The following is a 25,330-nucleotide window of genomic DNA, read 5'->3' as shown; positions in this document are numbered from 1 at the left end:
AGCAAGGGTTACTGGAAAGTTCCCTATGTCCTAAAGCAAAATTTTCCTGTCACTGATATTAAAATCCTACCTTTAGAAATGTATATTCCTAGGTTAAGACATTGTCTTCCATTATAATTAAGTTGACCATTGTCCAAATTTGCCCAGGAGAGTTTTGGTGTATTCCTGTTATTCCATTATGCCATCTGGTTTAGCATTTGTGCAGGAAAAAGAGCCTCCATTTGGACACTAAATCATGGCCACCTTATTATAATGCAGGGCTCCTGATTCTAATAGTATATTGGGCTTTGTCAGTCCCTGTACTTTCATATGATTAAATCTATTAGATGCATTCTTCCCACAGAGACAAACCATTGAGAGCAGGCTGGGATGGGAGGAGGAGGAAGAGGCAATGCTGATGACCTTAAACAACTTTGGGATGGCAAGTCAAGGGCCAGGCCCAAAAAGCTGCAAAGAAAGATGGATACCTCTGGGGTGTCACAGTTTTTCCCAGCTAGAAGTTCTAAGTCCTCTCATTTACGACCGTGCCAAAATTAGGGACTGCATCCTCTTTTGGAGCTGGGTCTTAACTGGATTCTTTTTACCTCATGAAATGTTTTCAGCAAAAGAAACTGAAACCAATGAAAGTTTTATTTTTCCAGCAAATATAATTCTGAGTGTAATATCTGGATATTACTTGACCATCTTCATGGTTCTAGCAAAAATACGATTCTTTGCAAATGGGCAGTCCAACATGCCGGAGGTAATAGAACCCACTTGGTCTCAGTTCAGCAAGGGCTTTTAATTCATCACTCAGCCCTGTGAAGGTCACCATTCTCCAGCTGCTGAGGCACAGCAGTTCTGACCCTCTCCATTATTTTTCCCAGGACAGGCATTTGGGGCATGAAGTAATATCCAATCAGAACTCTATTCAAAGCAATTTCAGTGGCATCATCCAATCAAAACTGCTCATGTTCCACTCAGAATACTTAAACGCAGGGATTGTTTTTGGTTTTTGATTTTTGGGTTTCTCTTTTGCACTTTAATAAAAACAATCAACTAGAAACTAACATTATTTCTATATAAAATCTTATAAGAATTATGAAAATGCTTCATGTTGCCTTTCCTGGTTGCATTTGTATGTTTTTCATCATGGGAATGAAGTATAACTGCTTATAGTTGCTTCCCTCATTTTATTGATTCCAAGAGAAGACAGAATTGTGACATGGGATCATAAAGAACACTGACCCAAGGAAGAGTTTTTTTTCTTTCTTTCTTTCTTTTTTTCTTTTTTTTTTTTTTTTTTTTTTGAGATGGAGTTTCACTCTGTCACCCAGGCTGGAGTGCAGTGGAATCTTGGCTCACTGCAACCTCCACCTCCTGGGTTCAAGTGATTCTCCTGCCTCAGCCTCCTGAGTAGCTGGAATTACAGGCATGTGCCACCACAGCAGGCTAATTTTTTTGTATTTTTATAGAGATGGGGTTTCTGCATGTTGGACAGGCTGGTCTCAAACTCCTGAACTCAGGTGCTCCGCCCTCCTCAGCCTCCCAAAATGCTGGGTTTACAGACATGATCCACCTCACCCGGCCTCCAAGGAAGAGTTTTCTAAAAGTCTCCTTTAATAACATCCCTTCAATTCCCCTGATATCCCTTTAACTTTCCAGTAACCCTGCTGATCCCAACAACCTTTTGTTCTAGGCTCAAGACAAGATTCTTTTTTGAAGGACCCGTTTTAATATTTTCCTTTTTTATTTAGACAAAACGAGACTTTGCTCTTGCCTATTTGAATGGAATCCTGCTCTTTGGACATATGCTGAAGATATTTCTTGAAAATGGAGAAAATATTACCACCCCCAAATTTGCTCATGCTTTCAGGAATCTCACTTTTGAAGGTACTGGTCTACTAAGAGCAAATAACCCCAAGGTGAAGAAATGTAGGCTTTCTGAGTGGATTTGGGGCAACAAAGAAGGTTTAGCAATAGATGATTCCACAGCTAAATCCCTTTGAACTCAACTGGATGCAAACATCATTACATAAACTTTGAGGGTGCTGTTATTGATAACTGAACTCCGGTTTATGTTTCAGTCTTTTAGAATCTTTGGATGTCACAGAAAAGGGCAGGTAGCGCAGGTTCTGTACTTATGAACAAGCTCATCATAAGGCATTTTGAGCAGTAATGTCCTGACTGTGCTTGGAGACTAACAAGAGGATAAACATTTGCAGTTTGATTTGGGTCCTTCCATATCTCCTTTTCTATCCTTCAAGGATCTGGGACCCTGTGTTAAAACCTTTAGCTATCAAAACTCCACAAAATAATACCCTCCAAAACAACACAAACCTCCTGAGCTGCATGGATCAATGTTGCCCTTTCCTACAAGCCCCTAGTGAAACTCCCATCTTTCGTTTCCCAGATCTCATCCTGAGACTATGAAGAAATTTTCCTCTAAATGTAATGTATACTAAGTCAAAGATAAATGACAGTGGCCTTTTCTAACTTGCCTCAGAGTCTTACTCTATGAAACCTTTGTTTTACTGCAGTGTAAGTGACTTTCTCTGTAGGCTTCGGAGGGCAGCAGGTGCCCAGCATTAGGACTGAGGGCTGCACCAGGGGCTATGGTGTATGACAATGGCAGGAAGAGATCACTTCTGCTTCACTGAAGATGCAGGGAGGGAGACACAGTAATTTGTTGGTCATCCCATGTGTCCCAAGTTCTACCAGGCACTTTATATGCACTCTTAATTTCCTCACTTCCATGACCACGGTTGAGCATTTTAATGGATTAGCACAGGCTTAACATTTGGCTTAACATTTAACTAGGAAACAAACAAATGTTTGTTCCCGCCACCTACCAGCCGTACGACCCTTAATATCTCTGACTAAATAAATTATTTCTCACCAATATAACGGAGATAATAATAGTTTCTATATCATGATATTTCAGGAAGAATAATATGATAATGCATATAAATCACTTAGCACAGAGCCTGGTATATTGTAAACAGGAAATAAATGTTCATTGTTATGTCGAAACATGTGAAGTTACTAATTTGATCACTTTTTTTTACCTAAATAGTTTTATCTTATATTGCTATTTAATAGATGACAAAACTGAAACTCAGAAAACTTAAGTAATTTTATTCAATGTCTTCAGCAAATGAGTGACAGTGAAAAAATTTTGATCTTCCTACAATCTATGTTAAGATTGTGCAGTGACCCTATACACTATGCTAGGAGTTCAGGAAATATTCTTAGCAAAAATGTGTCACTAATAATCGAGGGACTTATTGACTCATTACATTTAGTGCCACCCTAAATGCAATGAAAAGGTTTTTTGCTTTTTCTAAATAAATACATCTCCCATAAAAATGCCCTCCAGAGATCTCTGGGCTAAGAAGCCAATCCAGGTGCCATCTGATTAGACTATTAATGTCAACAATGTTTTCAGTAAATTTGAAACAGAGCTATTTGAACCCATTTTACACTCTCTGTCATGATCCAACTTATCTGTCAGGCAAAAATCAAGAATGGCCTCTAACATACTCTGATCTTGCCCTAGGGTATGACGGTCCAGTGACCTTGGATGACTGGGGGGATGTTGACAGTACCATGGTGCTTCTGTATACCTCTGTGGACACCAAGAAAGTATGTCTCACTGCTTATCAGAAAATTCAGGGTGCTGTGACTGGGTGAGGAGGGGTAACTTGGAAGAGGAGCACTAGCAAAAGAATTAGAGAAATTATGTTTAGGATCTGAAGACAGTTCATTTCAACTTCACAATTACGCCCCACTTAGGGTAGTATTCCTTAAGCATTTTGACCCATAAAACTTCTTACTCAGAATATCCACTGTATTTACTATTAATATATCTATACCTCTATATCAATATCCATATAGATAGGTATAGATATTTTAAATATCCACCCAGAATAAATTACATAATATAACAAAAAGACTATTGATGGGATACCAATGAGAGGATCACAAGTCTTTCCTAAGAATTGTTTACTCATTTTCACAACTAAAGATTTCAATGAAATATTCCCTGTTATCTCCATTTGAACTCTCAGGAAAATCATTAAATGTGTAAACCTGAGCCCCACATAAACAGCCCTGTAATGCTATGCTTTTATTCATATTATATTCACTTTTTTTTCCTCACCCAATAGTAGGTTCTTTAAAGAAAATAAGTGGTCTACTCACCTCTCCATCTTTTCAGTGCATAGCTTCTTATCTGGCACACCATTGACGGCTGGTCAGCATTTAATCACAAACAAACAAAAACAAAACAAAAAAAACACCTGTCTTCATGTCATCCAATGTTGTATCCATCCAAACTATAAAAGCCACTGTTCCAGCCAACCAAGTGGTCAGTAAAAAGGTTTATATAGGAGGTCAGGTCCTGACATAACATAAAATTTATTCATTTTTTTTTCATTTTCCAATGTGAGTGTTATGACAGTCTAAGTCATATACTAAATGTGTACATCAACCCAGCTTTGTAAAAGATATCTGCAATGGAAAATGTGAAAAGCTAGAGAAAAGATGTCCACGTTGAGAAAGCTAAACCAGAAATTTGCTAGCAGCATTCCATAAATGTAATTCGTAGTTTCTAGATACTATATTGAACCTTCAATATAATGTTATGTTTCGCATACATTCCGTAAGAATACCTTAACATAAGATCCCATCAATACTTCAGTTACTAATAGCGATTACAAAGGTACATGCATTCCTCTCTGAGTTATTTGCATCTGGGATGATGCCCATGATCTTCACAGAGAGAGGCAGAAACGTGTGAGATCTAATGTCAGTCTCATAACTATACTTCAAAATGGAAAATGTTGCTCTGTGCATTTATTCTCTCTATAAGCAAATTCGGGTGAATTTTTCAATAATGTAGTACCATCGGTTGTGCTATATAACATGTATATTTGGGAAAATCAGAGATCTTCTCAAAATGTAAGGTTAAAGGGATGATAATCTATATCCAGGATAGGTCTCAACAGAGATTCAATATGCCACATCCTAACATAAAGGAAAAAGAAAGAAAGAGTAAAGTTATGAAAATGTAACATTGGGCAGGGTGCAGTGGCTCACCCCTGTATTCCCAGCACTTTTGGAGGCCGAGGCAGGCGGATCACTTGAGGTCAAGAGTTTGAGACCAGCCTGGCCAACGCGGTAAAACCCTGTCTCTACTAAAAATACAAAAATTAGCCGGGCATGGTGGTGCATGCCTGTAATTCCAGCTACTTGGGAGGCTGAGACAGGAGAGTCATTTGAACCTGGGAGGCAGAGGTTGCAGAAAGAAAATATAACTTTGCTGTCCAGAACATTTTGAGGGTACACTGGTAAATTTAAAAGGATGGTCACTGATATAGTTTGGCTGTGTCCCCACCGAAATCTCAACTTGAATTGTATCTCCCAGAATTCCCACGTGTTGTGGGAGGGACCAGGGGAGGTAATTGAATCACGGGGGCTGGTCTTTCCCATGCTAGTCTCGTGATAGTGAATAAGTATCACGAGATCTTACGGGTTTATCAGGGGTTTCCACTTTTGCTTCTTTCTCATTCTCTCTTGCTGCCACCATGTAAGAAGTGCCTTTCACCCTCCACCATGATTATGAGACCTCCCCAGTCATGTGGAACTGTAAGTCAAATTAAACCTCCTTTTCTTCCCCAAAAAAAAGAGAAAAAAAAAATTTTTTTCAGAGGTTTCATGGACTCCCCAGCGAGGCTGGGGAGGCCTCGCAATCATGGTGGAAGGTGAAAGGCACATCTTACATGGTAGCAGGCAAGAGAGAATGAGAGCCAAGTGAAAGGGGAAACCTCTTATAAAACCATCAGATCTCGTGAGACTTATTCACTACCACGAGAATAGCAGGGGAAAGACCGGTCCCATGATTCAATTACCTCTCCTGGGTCCCTCCTACAACACGTGGGAAGTCTGGGAGATACAATTCAAGTTGAGATTTTGGTGGGGACACAGCCAAACCATATCAGTCATCTTTCAGATCTCCCTTACAAAATTGACTCAATATATGCAGCAGTAATTTAAGGATATATTAATATTTCCATTGGCAAATGACTTGAAAATGAAATCTTTTATTTTAGAAACTAATTAATGTCATGTACAAGAAAAGCATATTAGAGCCAAGGAATAGAAGAGATTAGAAAATTAAGTAATGGATAGAAGTTAAGAAATGTAGTTATTTCAGGGCCCCTTGATATGTATCAAAATGACATAATGGATTTTAGCTCTGCTGCATTTTCTTGAGAGCTTTTTTCAAAAGCAACTTAATATTGTGGAAAACACTAGTCTTTCATTTATCATGTGACTTGGAGCTAGCCATTTAATATTTCTTAGCCTCTAGTTTAACATTTGAAAAATGAAATACTTGAACTGATTCACTAAAGGCCCACAGAATCTGTGCTGGACAGACAGGAGTTAATGGTGTAGTGTATGAGCATAAAGAAATAGGAAACTAATCGGTCCATCTGAAGTTATATCTGTGTTCATGCTGGGAATCAATAAATGATCCTAACTAGCTGGTTAACAGTTGCCTTTTTTCACTGAGAATTGTTATGGAAATCAAGCGTCATTGTGTAGAATCATTAATCTCACCATAATTTGTTCTATAATGTTTTACTGTTCATCCTTTTTCTTTTTTGTGCCCTGACACAGTACAAGGTTCTTTTGACCTATGATACCCACGTAAATAAGACCTATCCTGTGGATATGAGCCCCACATTCACTTGGAAGAACTCTAAACTTCCTAATGATATTACAGGCCGGGGTAAGATATCCCTAATGAATTTTCTCTCCCTGACACTGTTTTCCTGGTAAGAAAAGTAAAGTCTATTGTTTATGTAATTAGCCTGTGCTTTTTGCTGTGTTTTGTCTGCTGTCCCAGTTTGATTTCCTGCTGTCCAGTTTGTAAATGTGGTCCTTACTTCCCTGCACAATGAATGATATTATAGTTCTGATTCAACAGTGATTTCTGGCCAGGCATGGTGGCTTATGCCTGTAATCCCAGCACTTTGGGAGGCCAAGGCAGGAAGACTGCTTAAGCCTAAAAGTTTCAGACCAGCCTGGGCAACATGGTGAAACTCTGTCTCTACCAAAAATACTAAAAAAAAAAAAAAATTACCCAGGCATAGTGGCACACAGCCGTGTTCCCAGCTACTTGGGAGGCTGAGGTAGGAGGACCAGTTGAGCCCAGGAAGTTGAGGCTGCAATGAGCTATCTTTGTTCTACTGCACTCCAGCTGGGCAACAGAGTGAGATCCTGTCTCAAAAAAAAAAAAAGAAAAAGAAAAAAAAGGAAAGAAAGAAAACATTCTTATTCTAATTTAGCTATACCTATCTTTAAAATATGTCCTACCATTTGACATAAATTATTCCACAGAAAACCGGGTTTGACAACTGGCAAAAATGAGCACAGAGACATATATTCTTACTCCATTTACATTTTACTGCAATAAGCTAAAAGGTTGTGTATTTCAGCAAGAAATACTTGACATATCAGGCTGAGGGGTGACCAGTGATCCTGGCCTTTACAGTCTCCCCTGTTCCCATACTGGACACATATTTGGGTTGCAATGATAGTTACCCACCTACTTAAGATTAGGTCCTATCATGTCATGAATAGCCCTAACATGACTTGGCCAGCTTTCACCCGTGCAAGCTGCACACTCACCATCAGCAGCAGGCAGGGCCACTCAGGATCTCCTGGGCAACGAGGCCTCAGGACAATCTGTCCATGACTGGCTTGGCCAGGGCTTGCCATAATGAGTGGTAATTCCATGTGACTAGGAAAAATCTTTAAGAAAAAGTCTTAAATCTGGACAGATATTTAGCCCAAAGATTTAAAAAAAAAAAAAAAAGTAGAAATACCATCAATAAAATTATTTAGAGCCAAGCGTGGTGGCTCATGCCTGTAATCCCAGCACTTTGGGAGACTGAGGTGGGAGGATTGCTTGAGGCCAGAAGTTCAAGATAGCCTGGGCAACACAGTGAGATCCCATCTCTACAAACATTTATAAATTAAGGCTGGGAGTGGTGGCTCACGCCTGTAATCCCAGCACTTTGGGAGGCTGAAGTGGGTGGATAACGAGGTCAGCAGTTCGAGACCAGCCTGACCAACATGGTGAAACTCCGTTTCTACTAAAAATACAAAAATTAGCTGGGCATGATGGTGCGTGCCTATAATCCTAGCTACTCAGGAGGCTGAGGCAGGAGAATCGCTTGAACCCAGGAGGCAGAGGTTGTTGTAAGCCAAGATCACGCCACTGCACTCCAGCCTGGGGAACAGAGCAAGACTCCGTCTCAAAAATATATATATATAAATTAGTGGACATAGAGGTGCATACCTGTGGTCCCAGCTACTCAGGAGGCTGAGGTGGGAGGATCACTTGAGCCCAGTAAGTTGGGGCTGCAGTGAGCCATGATTGTGCCACTGCACTCCAGCCTGGATGACAGAGCAAGACCCTGCCTCAAAAAAAAAAAAAAAAAAAAAAGAAAATTATTATATATTCACAAATGGAGCATCAGGCAACCAATTAAAAATAATTATTTATGAAGAATGTTAAATGACATGGGAAAACTTATGATGTAAAGTAATAGAAAAGTACAGCTTCTTATTTAATGAGATTCTAACTTTGTAAAACAATGCATAGAAATAAGACTGGAAAGAAATATGTTAAACTGTTAAGAGTGGTGTCCTCTGACTGATGGGATCCTGCAAGATTTTTTTTGCTTTATTCTATTTTTCTGAATTTTCCAAAATTTCCACAATGACTCTGTATTAGTTTCTTATTTTCAAAAAGTATTAAAAATTATAAGCTACAAATATTTTTATACCAGCCCCGCTCTACAGCCAGAAACTCTGAAAATTTGATCTGATATAAAGGGAACATTTCTGGTTTGAAGGGCTTGCTTGTGTCAGAGCTATACCTGCGTTTCTAGTTTTCTTTCACTCCATGAGTCAAATTAAGTCCAAAATGATTCCTGTACTTTTATCCAACAGGTATTAGCAGCTGATTAACGAAATGAGGGAGGGGGGAATGAAGATGGCATTCTTCTAGACAATAAGCAATCCTGAGCTGACTTCAGATTTATTGCTATGATTGCTTTTTAAAGTCGAGTTTTATTTAATAAGCTTTTAAAACTTTCTGGAACCATCTTCAAGCTTTCTAGTTTTAAACCAAACTTGACTTCTGAAATATATCTCTTTTCTCATGGGCTTCTGCAACTCTCAACTTCTTTTGTAACTTTTTGAGTTCAAATTATTTTTTCTTTCTTCTTAATTATAACTGTCAGTGACAAAGTTAGGTTTGTGTTTTTAATGTATTTCCTTCAAGTTTTTTGGTATTTTGGTTATTCAATAGGTCTGTGATTTCTAAAGTGCTGAACTTCTCAAAAAGTACTTTTTGAGAGAGTTCTCTTTACTTAAAGAGAACTGACTTCCTCAATGGTTGAACTAGTTTACAGTCCCACCAACAGTGTAAAAGTGTTCCTAAAGTGAACATTAAATATTCATACTATATCCTACAGGGACGTTATATTATCCTGAGCAACTTTACTTCAGCCTCAGTTAACTAACAACCTCAGTTAGCCAGAGCTTTTCAATACTTAACTGTTACTTACTACATTTAGCTCTAAACTTTACCAATGAAGCAATAATATAGGAGTTAAAAAGAAATTATTTAGGCAGGTAGCGAGGGTACAGGAGTCCTCAGTAAGGCTTTTTCTTTTCTTTTCTTACTCTTTTTTTTTTTTTTTGGAGACATTGTCTGGCTGTATCACCCAGGCTGGAGTACAGTGGTGCAATCTTGGCTCACTGCAACCTCTGCCTCCCGGATTCAAGCGATTCTCCTGCCTCAGCCTCCCGAGTAGCTGGAATTACAGGTGTTTGCCGCCACGCCCGGCTAATTTTTGTATTTTTAGTAGAGACGGGGTTTCGCCATGTTGGGCTGGCTGGTCTGGAACTCCTGACCTCACGTGATCCGCCTGCCTCGGCCTCCCAAAGTTCTGAGATTACAGGCATGAGCCACGGCGCCCAGCCAGGCATTTTCTTTTAATTGAAAACAGTCTCCAAACCATTTCTTTTCTAGCAAAAAGCAGCCTGAAAAGCTGAACTGCAAGCATAAATAAGCAAGCTGGAAGCTTGCGTAGATGAATGCCCGCAGCTGTACTAAAAGCCAGGTCCACCCAATATAGCGATTTCCCCTCCCTTTTCTTTGTAGCCATGTGTGGGGGTGTCATTGTGCCGGCCGGGTAAAGCCACATGTGTGGGTGTCATGGCGCCAGCCAGGTAGAGGCCGCATTTGCATAATAAAAGATTAGGGTGAGAGGGCCAGTTTCTTCAGGGCTATGTAAATGGCACACTGGTCAAACCAATCCCCTGGGCCCTATATAAATCAGACACCGCCTCCTGAAGCCTCCCTATATAACCTACTGCTTCCCACCACAAGCATGGTTTTTTCCCTTCAGAGCCCTCCTACCTCTCTACCGGTGAGCTGTTCTCTTCTTTCCTGCCTATTAAACTTTCCGCTACTTGACCCGCTCCGTGTTTGCGTCTGTGTCCTTAATCTTCTCGTCACGCGATGACGAACCTTGGGTATGTCCCCAGACAATGAAGCCGCTTCAGCAACTCAACCTTTGAAATAGTATAGAAATACGATATGCATGACTGGAACTTGCATCTGTGTGTACACAGCTACTAAGTAACAAAACATTTCACCAAGAGATTACACCATCCCTGTTCTTTCATTTATTTAACAAAGATATTTATTTAATGCCAGACAATGTTCTGAGCACCTGGGAAATAGCAATGGACAATGCAGATTTGGTGCCCGTCCTCATCCAAGTCCTCAGCATCTGCTTCCTGTATCACAAAAATGACGTCAAACTGACTTCCTGCATTAGTCCTGCCCACTTCCATCCAACCCATCCTGCTATCAGAAAGAAAGCACAAGTCCAATCATGTCACTGCACTGTTGCTAACATGTCAATTGGCAACTCTGCTTTACCTACAGAATACAGTCCAAGTTACTTAATACAGCACAAAGTGCCCGTAATCTCCCTACTTATCTTTTACTCACCTATCCCTTCCCCATGCTCTCAGCTTCCTCCCTACTTCCTTAAAGCGTCATGCAAATTTATGCCGCTGTGTCCTTATTTATGCTACTCCCTCGGAATAGAATTTATCACTTCTCCATAGAGGTGGGAAACATCTACTCATCCTCAAGATTTAACCGGAATCTCAACTTTCCTTAGCTTTTTTTTTTTTTTTTTTTCCTGAGACGGAGCCTCGCAGTGTTGCCCGGCCTGGAGTGCAGTGGCCCAATCTCGGCTCACTGCAACTTCCGCCTCCCAGGTTCAAGAGATTCTCCTGCCTCAGCCTTCCAAGTAGCTGGAACTGATTACAGGCACCTGCCACCGCGGCCGGCTAATTTTTATGTTTTTAGTGGAGACGGGGTTTCACCATGTTGGCCAGGCTGGTCTCGAACTCCTGACCTCGTGATCCACCCGCCTTGGCTTCCCAAAGTGCTGGGATTACAGGTGTGAGACACCGCGCCCCCTCAGGGCTTATTCTTATTCATATTTCCTTGCCCCAACACAGTGCCTTGGAATGAATAAATGAATGAATGAATGAATGAATGAATGACAACATGAGATAACTGAATATATTTCTACTCTGGACTCCAGCACTCATCTATACTCTGTTAATTTCAGTCAATTTATTTCTCTTTTCTAAGTGTGAGTTTCTTCCCCTGTTAAATCAAGAAGTTTATCAGGTTCCTTCCAACCGTAATATCATATGACCTTGAGGTTATAAACTCTCATTCATTGTGAGATGAGTTAAATAGAATGTGATAACTACAGCAGCCACCAGAAGGCAGCAGAAGCTTAACCTTGGAATTTAGAACTTGATACTGCGTTTATCTAAAAGGCAAAACTGAAAAGCATGTTTAATTAAAAATGACTACATTTAAATAGTATATTTAAATACTATATATAAATATTATAATTATATCTAATACAGTGAGATGTTCATACTGTAGGAGGCAGAGAATTGAGGTGGGCTGAGGAGTCCCCATATTCCCTCCAGTTTATACTCTAGTCTAGGGGATGTGCAATTTTGATAGACCAGTGAGTGGGATTATCTACACTGTTGAAAATGTATTTCTTGTACTCACTTTCGTTTTCTGGGGTTTAGGGCGTGAGAATGGTGGGAGTGGCAATAGTGGTGATAGTGATGGAAGTGGTGATTGTAGTAACAAACAGAATTCACCAGTTAAATGTGCCCATAATGCAAGTTCAACTCCAAAGTATGAATTTATTTCTGCCCCGATGAGAGTAGAAATCCAAAGTTCACATTTTCACCATTGAAAATTTCCCATGAACACAAAACAAGGTAATAGAGGCAAAGTCACATGTCTGCAAAGCATAAACCCTTCAAATTCAGCCCTTATACAAAGGAGCTGTAGTGTTTACCCCAAGCTAAACCATCTACTTCAGAAGGACATAATATGATTAAACAAAAACAGTTTTAAAATACATATGACATGAGACCCCTAATGGCACAGGAGTCTTTCTATATGAATTTATTTATGTATTTTAATGTCCAAGCACCTTCTCCTTGCCTCTTCTCAGGCAATAAGATGACCAGGGCCAGGTTTTTCTTCTATTATTTTTTATTAGCCATTTTTATTGATACTTTACCAGGTCTTGTGCTGGGTGCCAAAGGTGTAAGGATGAACAGGAATGAATAAGTAGGACATGGACTGTGCCCCCAGGAGTTTAGATTATGGTGTCATGATAGAGAATACAGTGTGAAGGTTTAGGATTCTGCTTTCATAAAGAAGTCCTAAAACCTCATTTTCGGGGCACCTACATCAATTATATTTTAGCACAGAAAAATTCACACATGGCTGGGCACAGTGGCTCACGCCTGTAATCCCAGCACTTTGGGAGACCAAGGTGGGCTGATCACCTGAGGTCAGGAGTTCGAGACCAGCCTGGCCAACGTGATGAAACCCCACCTCTACTAAAAATACAAAAAATTAGCTGGACATGGTGGCGTGCGCCTGTAATCCCAGATACTTGGGAGGCTGAGGCAGGAGAATCTTTGAACCTGGAGGGTGGAGGTTGCGGTGAGCCGAGATCGTGCCATTGCATGCCAGCCTGGGCAAAAAGAGCAAAACTCTGTCTCAGAAAAATAAAAAGAAAAATTCACACACATGATTTTAAAATCCAGTAGCAGATGTGTTCATAATGGAAAGTGAATGCACCTGATCCCACCTCTGTGCATCTCTGCTCTCTCAGTCACTTCTGCTTTTACTGTTTTGCATATCTAAATAATATGCTTCTATTTCTTGATTTATAAGCTTTAGCAGTTATCTATTAATTTTTTGTATTGATACATGAAGATTTAGCTCATCTTCGCTAGCCCTCTTTCTCACTTCTTCCCATATAGTTATATCTTTTTTGTCGGTACAATTATTGAACACCTTTTTCATTTTAATTAATATGCATGAGCTTCTAGTGTTGTCCTATCAATTGTATATAAAATATCTTGCCTCCCACTTTGTAAGATGAAGATGTTAGTGCCACAATTCTTTCTTCTACCTCCTTCCCATCTCCAAAATTCTCCTATATTTTTCTTTGCCAGGGTTGATAATATTTATTTGGTAACCAAAATAAAGACCTCTGTTCTTTACCTATAACTTGATTCTATAAGTTGAAAACAAGGAAACATTTTCATTATGTGAATATTATTTATATAAAGCTAAATTGTATACCGTGATAACATCTTTCTTTTTTTTTTTTTTTTTTTGAGACGGAGTCTCATTGTGTCGCCCAGGCTGGAGAGCAGTGGTGCAATCTTGGCTCACTACAACCTCCACCTCCCGGGTTCAAGCGATTCTCCTGCTTCAGCCTCCCGAATAGCTGGGATTACAGGCACCCACCACCACGGCCAGATAATTTTTTGTATTTTTAGTAGAGATGGGGTTTTGCCATGTTGGCTAGGCTGGTCTTGATCTCCTGACCTCAGGTGATCGGCCCCTCAGCCCCCCCAAAGTGCTGGGATTACAGGTATGAGCCACCGCACCCGGCCAACATCTTTCTATATAGCCCCAATGTCTCCCTTTTGTACCACAAAGGAAAATTGATTTTCTCTCCTTTTTTAATACCTAATTCTCAAAGTCAGGGCACATTTTACTTTGTTTCATTTTTGGATTATGCCTTCCTTGAACATTTTTTCCTTAGAATTCCTGATTGGATTTCTCTTTTCTTTCCTTGCTGTATAAAGAAACATGTCTTCTTCACCATACTCCTATCACTTCCCAGCTTCTTACACATTCTGTCTATTGCTTGGAATCTATTCCATTTTTTCTTCTTGAACCTACTGACTTCCTAATAGGGAATTCATTGCGGCATATATGAACCACGACTTTCCCGTGCAGTCTTCTTGTTGCTGTCCTTCTCTGTGTAGGAGTATTCCTTTGTATACTCAGACACTGCTTCAGTGCTTCCTTGGGTTGGATCCACATTTTCCTGGATTCCACTTACTCTTCTGAGAGTCTTTCCACTTACTCCATCTATACAACTCCACCCACCCACTAGTGTTCTAGTAAATAAAATCCCATTCTTCATTGACTTCCCTCACTAACCCAGGAGAGCTTGGAAAGAACCAGCATGCAACACTGTCACTTAATATTCTATACTGACTTACTTTTCTTCCGGCATGTGCTCTGTATTTAAAAACAAGTTGTCTTAGTTGGGTATGGTGGCTCATGCCTGTAATCCCAGCACTTTGGGAGACTGAGGTTGGCGGATCGCTTGAGGCCGGGAGTTCATGGCCAGCAACATGGCGAAACCCCATTTCTACAAAAAATACAAAAATTATCCGGGCATGGTGGCGCACACCTGTAATCCCAGCTTCTCGGGAGGCTAAAGCAGGAGAATCACTTGAACCAGGGAGGCAGAGGTTGCAGTGAGCCAAGACTGCGCCACTGCACTCCAGCCTGGATGACAGAGTGAAACTCTGTCTCAAAAAGAAAAAAAAATACATGTCTCATCCTCTATGAACCCTTCTTAGGTATATTGGTTTCAAGGACACCAGGTAGACTTCTACCACCAACTTTTTTGTACGTGCTCTAAACTATTTTATGTTTGTGTAACATTTGGTGATTCTTATTAGAAAGAATAGAGATGTATATGCTGTCAGAATAGCCAAAATTAAGCCACTTTCCCTGGGTACAATGCCAGACAAGGCTGTCAGAGAGTAGGGACACAGGACTTATATTACCAGAGAGAAATTAATAAAAAATAAATTTTTTTAAAGGGTTCTCTTTTCCCTTCCCCAAATTACATTGTACAGCTAGAATCTTGGAAATGCTTTTGCTCTCTTGTCTAAGGTCCTTCCTAACGCATTTTCCGCCACAGGCCCTCAGATCCTGATGATTGCAGTCTTCACCCTCACTGGAGCTGTGGTGCTGCTCCTGCTCGTCGCTCTCCTGATGCTCAGGTACAGCCGCCTCTATCATGCCTGTGTTCGGTATCCAGAGAGGCAGGAAGGGAAAGTGGGAGAGGTCTGTTGTCTGTTGATGATGATGAATATTCACAAAGAAGCCTGCAGACTGACCTAAGATAATGAAGACATTCTGCATCAAAGACTAACTGAAGGGCAGAATATTATTGAGTGAATAGATTAGGGCTTTGAAGCCAAAGATGCCTGAACTCAAATCCCAGTTCTTTGAGTTACTAGTTCTGTGGTCTTAAGCGTGTTACTTAGCAACTTAAACAGGTAACTTAGCTTCAGTTTCTTCATCTGAGCTGTTGTAAGGATTAGAAATGGAACATGTATACAAACTACCATATAATAAGCATATATAGATAAAATAGTTATTTTTATTATGCTGTTATATTGTGGGAGACATCAAACTCATTAAATTACATATTTAGACTGGGAGAGGTTTTAGAAACAATTTATTCCAAATCTCCTATTTTAGCCTGAGGAAAGAGAACCCAGAAAGTCAAATGGCTTCTCTAGAGTCTTATCACCAGGTAGTGGGTGGGGCCAGAACTAGAACTCAAGCCTTCTCACCATCAGTTCCATGATTTTTCTGCTCAACTTGGGTCTGCCAAATGCCTAGCCAGAGACATTGTGTGTACTAAGAAATATTTATTGAATACATAAATGAGTGAGTAAATACCACACTACATCCTAATCTGCATATGTTAAATGCCAAACTTATAATACTGTATTATATTACCAGGTTCACTTGCACTTCCTAGCTAAACAAGACAACAGTTTTATCTGTGTATTACACACTTTGGTCTGTGTGTCATTATACTTTCTCATGTGAATGTCCAGCCTGCCATATACTGGTTGATGTTTTCTCCAGAAAAGGAAGTAGACTATTTTCTTCAATCTGACAACACCGCTTGGCTCCTGTAACTGTGTTGCTCAGAAATACAGGTGATGGTCTACAATGTGTGGTGACCATTTAGTGAAGAGTGAGAAGAAACCAAAATTTTCCCCCAAAAGCAAATCTAAATGGGAATCACTTTAAGATAGGGTAAATCACAAGATCAAAGATAATAACAGGTGTTTCTCATTGTCTCTAAACATGGCAGGCAGAGATGGGGCTTCCTAATGACCAGTGCAATGCTATGCCCATGAGGGGGCCTGGCAGACAGGTGGTACACATGCAGTTTGCCATTACAACAGCCTATGCAAGAAAACTAGCAAACCATTTAAGAAATCCCCTAATTCAGTATGAATGACAGTTGGCTCTGCTGGGTCCCAAGAGTCTCCTGGGGTACAGAGCTGAGAACCCAAGAGCCTTTAAGGTCTTGATATTCATCCTACTTGCCTCCAGGTCTTAGGGTCAGTAATATGCTATTTTACATGCATTTACTTGAAGAATACTCAGACTTAGATGGAAGCATACAAAGAGAATAATCATTTCTGCTTAGGGGACATTAAGGAAGGCATGGCCTTGAGAAGGTGAGAATGAGTTTGTCAAATAACCAAAAAGCAAAGGCAAACAGGGACAAAACAGGTCAATAGAAAAGAATATCAGTTCCAGAATCAGATACAAGCAAGAACTTATAATATGACAAAGATGACAGTATGTGACAGCTAAGAAATAATGTTGGTGGCCGAACACAGTGGCTCACACCTGTAATCCCAGCACTTTGGAAGGCCGAGGTGGCTGAATCATGAGGTCAGGAGTTCAAGACCAGCCTGGCCAACATGGTGAAACTCCATCTCTACTAAAAATACAAAAAATTAGCTGGGCATGGTGGCAGGTGCCTGTAATCCCAGCTACTCAGGAGGCTGAGGCAGGAAGATCTTGAACCCGGGAGGCGGAGGTTGCAGTGAGCAGAGATCGCACCACTGCACTCCAGCCTGGGCAACAGAGCAAGACTCCGTCTCAAAAAAAAAAAAAGAAAGAAATGATGTTGGTAAGGTAGGCTTTCCACATGTAAAAAACAAAATTAAAACAGGTAACTTAGCTTCAATTTCTTCATCTGAGCTGTTGTAGGGATTAGAAATGGAACATGCACACAAACTACCATATACTAAGCATTATATAAATGAAAATAGTTATTTTTATTATTATATTGTATTATGTTGTATTTTATTATTATTATATATCTAAAATAATACACAAAGACATAGTTTACTCTGTGGAGTTTTAAATGTTAATGCATAGTTTATGTGGAGTTTTAAATGTTTTAAATGTTTGATTATGTGAAAATCAAGCTTCAAAACTTAGAATAAATTAATAAAAATGACTTTTTAAAATTATTTTTATTTTTTTGAGACCGAGTCTCACTCTGTCACTCAGGCTGGAGTGCAGTGGCGCCATCTTGGCTCACTGCAACCTCCACCTCCTGGGTTCAAGCAATTCTCGTGCCTTGGCCTCACTAGTAGGTACAATTACAGGCGTGTACCACCACACCTGGCTAACTTTTGTATTTTTAGTAGAGATAGGGTTTCGCCACGTTGGCCAGCCTGGTCTCAACTCCTGACCTCTAGTGATCCACCCACCTTGGCCTCCCAATGTACTGGGATTATAGGTGTGAGCCACTGTGCCTGTCCAATAAAAATGACTTTATGATCTCAGTTTAGGAAAGTAGTTCTCAGTCAAGATAAAAAAGGAAAAGTCAAAGAAAAAATACATAAATATGACGATAATAAAATCAAAACTTTCTGTAAAACAAAGTTAAAGGAAGTCATAAACTAGGAAAAGGTATTTGAAAACTAAAGGGACAAAGGATTTATTTCTCAAAATATATTAAGAACTTATGTAAGTTAACAAGGATAAGAAAAATATACACACTAGGAAAAAATGAGCAAAATTATAAATACATAATTCTATATAATTCTGAGTCTATATACTCTATTAAATAGCTAGAAAATATTTGAAAGGATAATATCACTTGTAATCAAGAAAATGCAAAGTAATGCAATAATGAAACACTGTTTCACCTTCATCATAAAGGTTAAAAAAAAGTTTATCAATACCAAATGTTGACAAGAATATAGAAAATGGGAATTCTCAAGATAAGAAGGTAAATTAATTGATAACTACTGCTTTGGGAAGCAATTTGGTGATATCTGCAAAGTCGAAAGTGTACATCGTCTATAGCCCAAGAATTCTGCTTCATCTATACCAGCAGTCCCCGACCTTTTGACACCAGGGACTGGTTTCATGGAAAACAATTTTTGGGGGTGGGGAGAGTTTTGAGATGAAACTGTTCCACCTCAGATCATCAGGCATTAGTTAGATTCTCATAAGGATAAGGAGTGCACAACCTGGATCCCTCACATGTGCAGTTCTCAATAGGGTTCGCGGTCCTGTGAGAATCTAACGCCACCACTGATGTGACAGGAGGTGGAGCTCAGGTGGTAATACTGACCTCTCACCTCCTGCTGTGCAGCTTGGTTCCTAACAGGCTACGGACCAGTACCAGTCCATGGCCCAGGGGTTGGGGGCCTAATCCCCAACCTACACTATCTGGGGACCGATACTATCTGAAGGAAACTATACATTTTTAACATTTTGTAGTTGAGATAGGTGTTGTTACATTTTCTCTGTACTTTTCCATTTTCTTTAAACATATTTTTTGAAAAGGCACAGATGGGTAAGAGGAACTGGCTTATTTAGGGATCTGGTGTATTCTCTCTGGATTAAAAATTAACATTTTTGCCTCTCAATGTCACCAACTTTACATTTTTTTCCTGTATTTTTTCCTCACTCCTTCTATGTCATCAGTTTAAATCCTTTAGTATTGTGAAGGACTGCCTTAGTGAAAAACCTAGGAAAGTGAAGTGAAAAGAAAAGAAAGACTAGGAAACAGGGGTCCCCAAACCCCAGTCCATGGCCTGTTAGGAACCAACCGCACAGCAGGAGGTGAGCAGCGGGTGAGCGAGCGGTACCGCCTGAGCTCCCCCTGCTGTCGGATCAGTCAGGGCATTAGATTGTCATAGGAGCGTGAACCCTACTGTGAACTGCGCATGCAGGGGATCTATGTTGCACACTCCTTATGAGAATCTAATGCCTGATCTGAGGTGGAACAGTTTCATCCTGAAACCACTCCCTGCCACCTCCATGGAAACATTGTCTTCCAGGAAACCAGTCCGTGGTGTCAAAAACGTTGAGGGCCACCGCTATAAAAGCCCATCAGAAATCCTTGCAGGTCCACTGGCAGTAAGCGCTTTTCAGTTTGGAGGACATGGTGTTCTGTCATTGGGCTACCTTCCCTCACACATATCTACCTGAGCATACCAGGGTTCTAAACTTCACCCAGTCTTCAGAAGCTGAATGACATGGATATTAATAAAAACCTATTGACCAGTTTTATTCCTTTCACAGAAAATATAGAAAAGATTATGAACTTCGTCAGAAAAAATGGTCCCACATTCCTCCTGAAAATATCTTTCCTCTGGAGACCAATGAGACCAATCATGTTAGCCTCAAGGTAAAGCCTACCTTACCTGTTGAAGAATGGGTTCAATTTGGCAGGTATTTGACAAGACTTAAGTAGCATTGCAGGATATGTGCCAAGTAGGGATAGTTGTTCTAGAAAGCAAGACTTAGATGCTTTCTAATTTTCAGCTCTCTCCCTTCCCCTTGATTCTCCATTCTCCTACATGTCAACTAGTTAATCCAATGAGCACTTCCCTGGAGGCTGAGATATGGTGTGTTCTCGTTCTTTGCATCTTATCCAGAATAGAAATACACATATTGGGAATTTGCCATGGAAGGGATGTAGGAATGGGCAGAGCATTTGAGTTCCCCTAAACCTTGGATGCTAATCTATCCATACTAAGGGCCTATGACTTGTCTTACTCATTCCTGAAGAAAGAGGCCTCTGCTTATATTTGCTCACATTTACCTTCAACCAGGAAATAGCAGCAGCCAATAATAACTTACTCCATTTACCACAGTCAATGCAGGACCTATGCTGTCTCATCTATTCCTCACAGGAACCCAAAATTAAGCTTTATTATCATAATTTTGCTGATGAGGAAACTGAAGGACAAAAGATTAAGAAACAGTGCAGGGACACATACAACTAATGAGTAAGATAACTATAAGTAATAATAGCTAACACTTACTGAGCACTTATAATGCACCACATGCATTAACCCATTTCATCTTCTCCTGAGCACTGTGAAGTAGCAGGGTGGAAATTCCAGGAACACAGCTACAATTTAAACCCAGTCTGTCTAACTGTAAAGCCAGAGATTGTAACACCTTCCATACACCATATAATTATCCTAGTTTTTATACCAAAGCGTATTAAGAGAATATGGAGACCCAAGACCTCCACAGATGGGAATTCGTGGACTCCTTCAGAGTAGGGCCAAACTGATAGTGTAGTGTGATTTGAGATGCTTCCTTGCTTAAAATCAGCAGGAATAAAATTGCATTTGGCTTAAGTTTGTCTCTGGAACCTCTCTACCAGCTCTTGACCCTCCTCCCCAAGTCCTGTGTGCTGCCCTCTAATGGCTCCAATCCCCTCATGTCTATCCAAAGACCAGGTCTTCCCTTCTTTCAGAAATATGACATGCTCCAATGTGACCCTCCTGGTGCATTCTGAACCTCAACAGAAAAATTCTATTCACAAAGACCAATCTGTCTCAGCTAAGTGTCAGGATGAAATCAATTTAACAGTAATTCACAGTCAGGTGTAAATGACCTTAAGGCTACTGAATTTCCAAAGAGAGAATTTGTTGACCTAAATGACAAACTGGAAGTACCTAGTGTTAAAAGAAAAACACTGGACAGACAAAATAGAATTTATTTGAGCAAAAAGTGATTCATGAATTGTGAAGCACTCAAAACCAAAAGAGGTTCAGAAAGCTCCACTCTGCAGCATGGGCAGTGAGCTTTCATAGGTTGTACAAGGAAGTAAAGTACACAAATAACTTGATTGGTTACAGCTAGGCATTTGCTTTATTTGGGCATGGTCTGTTCAGTTAGCTTCCTGTGATTGGCTGAAACCCAGCCATTTGTTACAAAAATAGACTCCTAAATTAGTTTTCAGTTTGTCTGTATACTAAGTTAGGTTGCAGTTTATAGGAACTCATAATACAAAGACAGCCTCATGCCAATGGTCTCCTGCTTATTTAATATAACACTAGGAAGAGGAGAGGGGACTTTCAGAAGGAGCGTGTGCACCTCTGTCTCTCATCTTCTCCCAGATGGGCTCCCACACGCTCCACCTCTGCACAAGTCCAGCCTTGGTGTCATTCCTCAAGCACCTCCCCACTGCCTCAAAACCCCATATTTCATATTTTCTCTTTTGGAGTAAGCCCAAAACATGTGTCACCGTATGTTTTCTTAAAATATAAATATTCCTAGAAGTATAATTCATCCATTTCTTGTCAGTTTCTTTACAAAATTTTTATGAGTACAGATTAGTTCATCGGAATGAATGAGTCACCTGACCAAGGAAATAGGTCTTTGGGACAGTAAACTCAAAGGAGGGAAGTTCAAAATTATTTTGATCATGTGATCATTGTTACTCTGAGTTTTAGACAGGCTGGGAAGCAGGTGGATCAGAAATTGGCTGTACAGAGAGCTCATCAGGTGCTAAGAGTCAGGTAGACATGGAGAAAACCCAAGGTCACCCGAAGTCAGCAAGGGTGGAAAATACCTACAACCAGACAGGTAGTGGTTCAAGTTTGGATACTCACTGAATGCAGAAATAAGGAAGCAAGACTAAGAGATGAGATAATAGAGAGTCAAACATCCCACTGCTAGAACAGGAAGGGTCAGAATATCAGACCAAAGATTCCAGACAAAAGAAATCAGGCAAGTCAAAGGGATAGAGTAACACAGAAAAAAATAATCAAGATGATCATTCATTTGAGGGTAAAAAGAGAAGTATTTTAGCTAGCAAGAGAATTTCACAAACCTTGTCTCATTTAACCCCCAGCTATTTCTATGAGTTGGAATTGTGCAGTAAGGAACTGAGGTCCAAATAGTTTAAATGATGTCATCAAGGTCTGAAATAATAAAAAGAGCATTAGGCAAGAAGACAAGCCTAGGTTCTGCCATTCTCTTTTTATGTGACATTTAATGTTATTTAACCCTTCTATACTTAATTTGTTAAATGAGAAGAAAATGAAATGATGATAACTGACATTTGTTAGTCTGCAATGTGCCAGGCATCATGCTTGGACCTTCAGAGAGTCATTTCACTCGCATTTCAAAATGGCCTTGTAAGGTACATTTTAACAAAGATAATAACACATCTCAGGTTTTTATGAGAATCACATCAAAAGATGCAATTGTTCCCAACCTTTTCTCTGTCTTTGGACCAGAAGTCATTAACTGGAAGGCCAAGAGCCATATGTGGCCTGCAGTTGTGAGTGCCTATGTGTGTGCGTGTGTTTTGTTCAATATTTGACATTTTAAAAATTAATTGCCAACATACAAATGTCACGAGATAGCATATAAGAATTCTTATTACCAGCTCCTTTTGATAAATAAGATGATTTAGCAACTTCGGGCTGAACCCAGAGCTGACAGTACTGCTTCCCTTAGACACCTGGCCCAGTTTTATCATTTGCATTGCTACTTGGGCCTTTAGGCATGAGTGTGCAACTCAAATGTACAGCATCCTTCCCCAAGAGCATCTATCTGTAGCTACAGGCAATAATTCCCACAAAAACAGGGTTGGGGTGAAGGGAGCAAAGGAAATCCCTGGTTGAAGTAGGGCCACAAGAGGAAGGGAGGAAACCCATAGCTAAGCATGAGCGCAGTAGATACCTGGAAACACGTTGCTGGAGTCCAATTAGTGAGAGGGAGCAAGTCAATTACAACAGTTTTTCTGGAAGCCTGCTTGCCCAGCATGTTATTGAGGAAACAGATGCAGCCCACCTGGAAGAGCCTCTCAGCCTTTGACAGGCAGTGAGTAGGATGAGATATGGAGCTTCTGGAATAATTAGCCTTTTCTTGTGCCAGATCGATGATGACAAAAGACGAGATACAATCCAGAGACTACGACAGTGCAAATACGACAAAAAGGTGACCTCTCCCACTTCTCTGAACTCTCCACTGGGGTATGCTCTGGGCCTTTTGACCCCTCATTGCCCTGGCCCCTGATGTCAGTATCACAATGGTGGGAGTCCCCAGTCTGTTCCTAGGGGCTATTCTTAGAGCTTCACAGGGATGGGCAGGGCCCTGCTTCAAGGGTTACAAAACTCACAATCCTGGGGAAAATGGAAGACAAATAGAATGTTGGGGAAGGGTGGAGTGTAGGAAGAAAAATTAAATATCAAAGATATTCAGAGTAGTCCAGGGCAACCCTAGTATTATATTTTGGCTCATTGCTGAGAAATACAACGATCTCATATGAGAGCTTTGCATCTTATTTCCATCCTTCTTTCTTCCCTCCCTCCCTTCTGCCTGCCTTCCTTCCATTTAGTCATTCTTAAAGAAACATTCGAGACTGAACTTACCATATGCCAGGTACTAGGCACCAGGGATATAAACATCAGTCAAGGCTGGGCACAATGGCTCATGTCTGTAATCCCAGGACTTTGGGAGGCTGAGGCGGGTGGATCATTTGAGGCCAGAAGTTTGAGACCAGGCCGGCCAACATGGCAAAACCCCGTTTCTCCTAAAAATACAAAAATTAGCCGGGCATGGTGGTGCATGCCTGTAGTCCCAGCTACTGGGGAGGCTGAGGCAGGAGAATTGCTTGAACCCAGGAGGCAGAGATTGAAGTGAGCTGAGATTGCACCACTGCACTCCAGCCTGGGCAACAGAGCAAGGCTCTGTCTTTAAAAAATAAATAAATAAATAAATAAATATAAAAAATCAATCAAATACTGTCACTGCTCTCAAAAGTTTATAGTCTAGTGAGACACACAAACAAACTGTTATAATATGCATGTAAAGAGTTACACCACAACACTGTCTCCTAAATTTCATTGATTTTTGCAGCGAGTGATTCTCAAAGATCTCAAGCACAATGATGGTAATTTCACTGAAAAACAGAAGATAGAATTGAACAAGGTATGTAGCCCTTACTTCAAACCCTTGAGAAATAACTTCACTTCATTTCCTCTAATCACTGAGGTTGCTGGTGGAGTAAGAGGCTGACAGAAAAGCCCTCAGGCCAAGAAATGGTGACTATATTTCTTGTTGAAAATTCTACCAAGAGATATTGGAAAGTGAGGTTGACGGTGTAAAAAATTCTGGAAATCTACTAGTCTTTCCTGGAAAGTGGACCTGATATTATTTGAAAGTAAAGTTTATATTCAAGGCCTCTTACTGACAAAGGAAAGTTTGTTGAATGAGATTGATATAATGTGTGATAAGCAATGGGTACTGACATTCAATTTGTTAAGACAACACATCTTCTCAAAGATCTGAAACAAAACACATTTTATTGGCATATTAATTTTTACTTTGGCACCCCATTCTGCCTAATTTGCTTTGTAAACAAACACGTTCTTCTAGTTGCTTCAGATTGACTATTACAACCTGACCAAGTTCTACGGCACAGTGAAACTTGATACCATGATCTTCGGGGTGATAGAATACTGTGAGAGAGGATCCCTCCGGGTAAGAAACCATGGTCATTTCCAATTTTCTAATCATATAAAAATATTCAGCAGGCCTTTTAAAATATTTACCGAGTAAAATAATATTAGAGAAAATCAGGGAAAGTTGGTGGGGTCACATGCTTTCCAAACTAGATCCCCGAGATTTTTTCAGTCTTATTATGTTTTTATAAACAAGCAAAAAAAATTTCAGGAAAAAGATAATAGATTTGGGGAGGGGAGTAAACAGAGAATGGAAGTG

The 25,330-nt window shown here is 40.2% G+C and overlaps 1 protein-coding gene and 1 long non-coding RNA gene across 3 annotated transcripts in view; one reads left to right on the top strand and one right to left on the bottom strand.

Moving 5' to 3' along the window:
- The window catches only part of GUCY2C-AS1 (GUCY2C antisense RNA 1), a 70,584-nt gene extending 59,723 nt beyond the window's left edge, over window positions 1-10,861 (bottom strand). The window contains exons 1-4 of the long non-coding RNA NR_186173.1: window positions 10,800-10,861; window positions 10,484-10,638; window positions 8,351-8,468; window positions 4,183-4,231 (exon numbers count right to left, since the gene is read on the bottom strand). This is a non-coding gene — a long non-coding RNA (GUCY2C antisense RNA 1). The remainder of the gene's footprint in view (window positions 1-4,182; window positions 4,232-8,350; window positions 8,469-10,483; window positions 10,639-10,799) is intronic.
- Window positions 1-25,330, top strand: part of GUCY2C (guanylate cyclase 2C) — an 83,968-nt gene that overhangs the window by 20,103 nt on the left and 38,535 nt on the right. For both annotated transcript variants that reach the window (XM_011520631.3, NM_004963.4), the window contains exons 8-15: window positions 1,737-1,872; window positions 3,539-3,624; window positions 6,664-6,775; window positions 15,435-15,516; window positions 19,880-19,985; window positions 23,483-23,545; window positions 24,467-24,538; window positions 24,986-25,090. In XM_011520631.3, the coding sequence (XP_011518933.1) occupies window positions 1,737-1,872; window positions 3,539-3,624; window positions 6,664-6,775; window positions 15,435-15,516; window positions 19,880-19,985; window positions 23,483-23,545; window positions 24,467-24,538; window positions 24,986-25,090 (762 nt within the window). The remainder of the gene's footprint in view (window positions 1-1,736; window positions 1,873-3,538; window positions 3,625-6,663; window positions 6,776-15,434; window positions 15,517-19,879; window positions 19,986-23,482; window positions 23,546-24,466; window positions 24,539-24,985; window positions 25,091-25,330) is intronic.

Source organism: Homo sapiens, chromosome 12 (genome assembly GCF_000001405.40).
Source record: "Homo sapiens chromosome 12, GRCh38.p14 Primary Assembly".
Lineage (NCBI taxonomy): Eukaryota > Metazoa > Chordata > Mammalia > Primates > Hominidae > Homo > Homo sapiens.
This window is presented reverse-complemented; position numbering and strand designations above follow the sequence as displayed.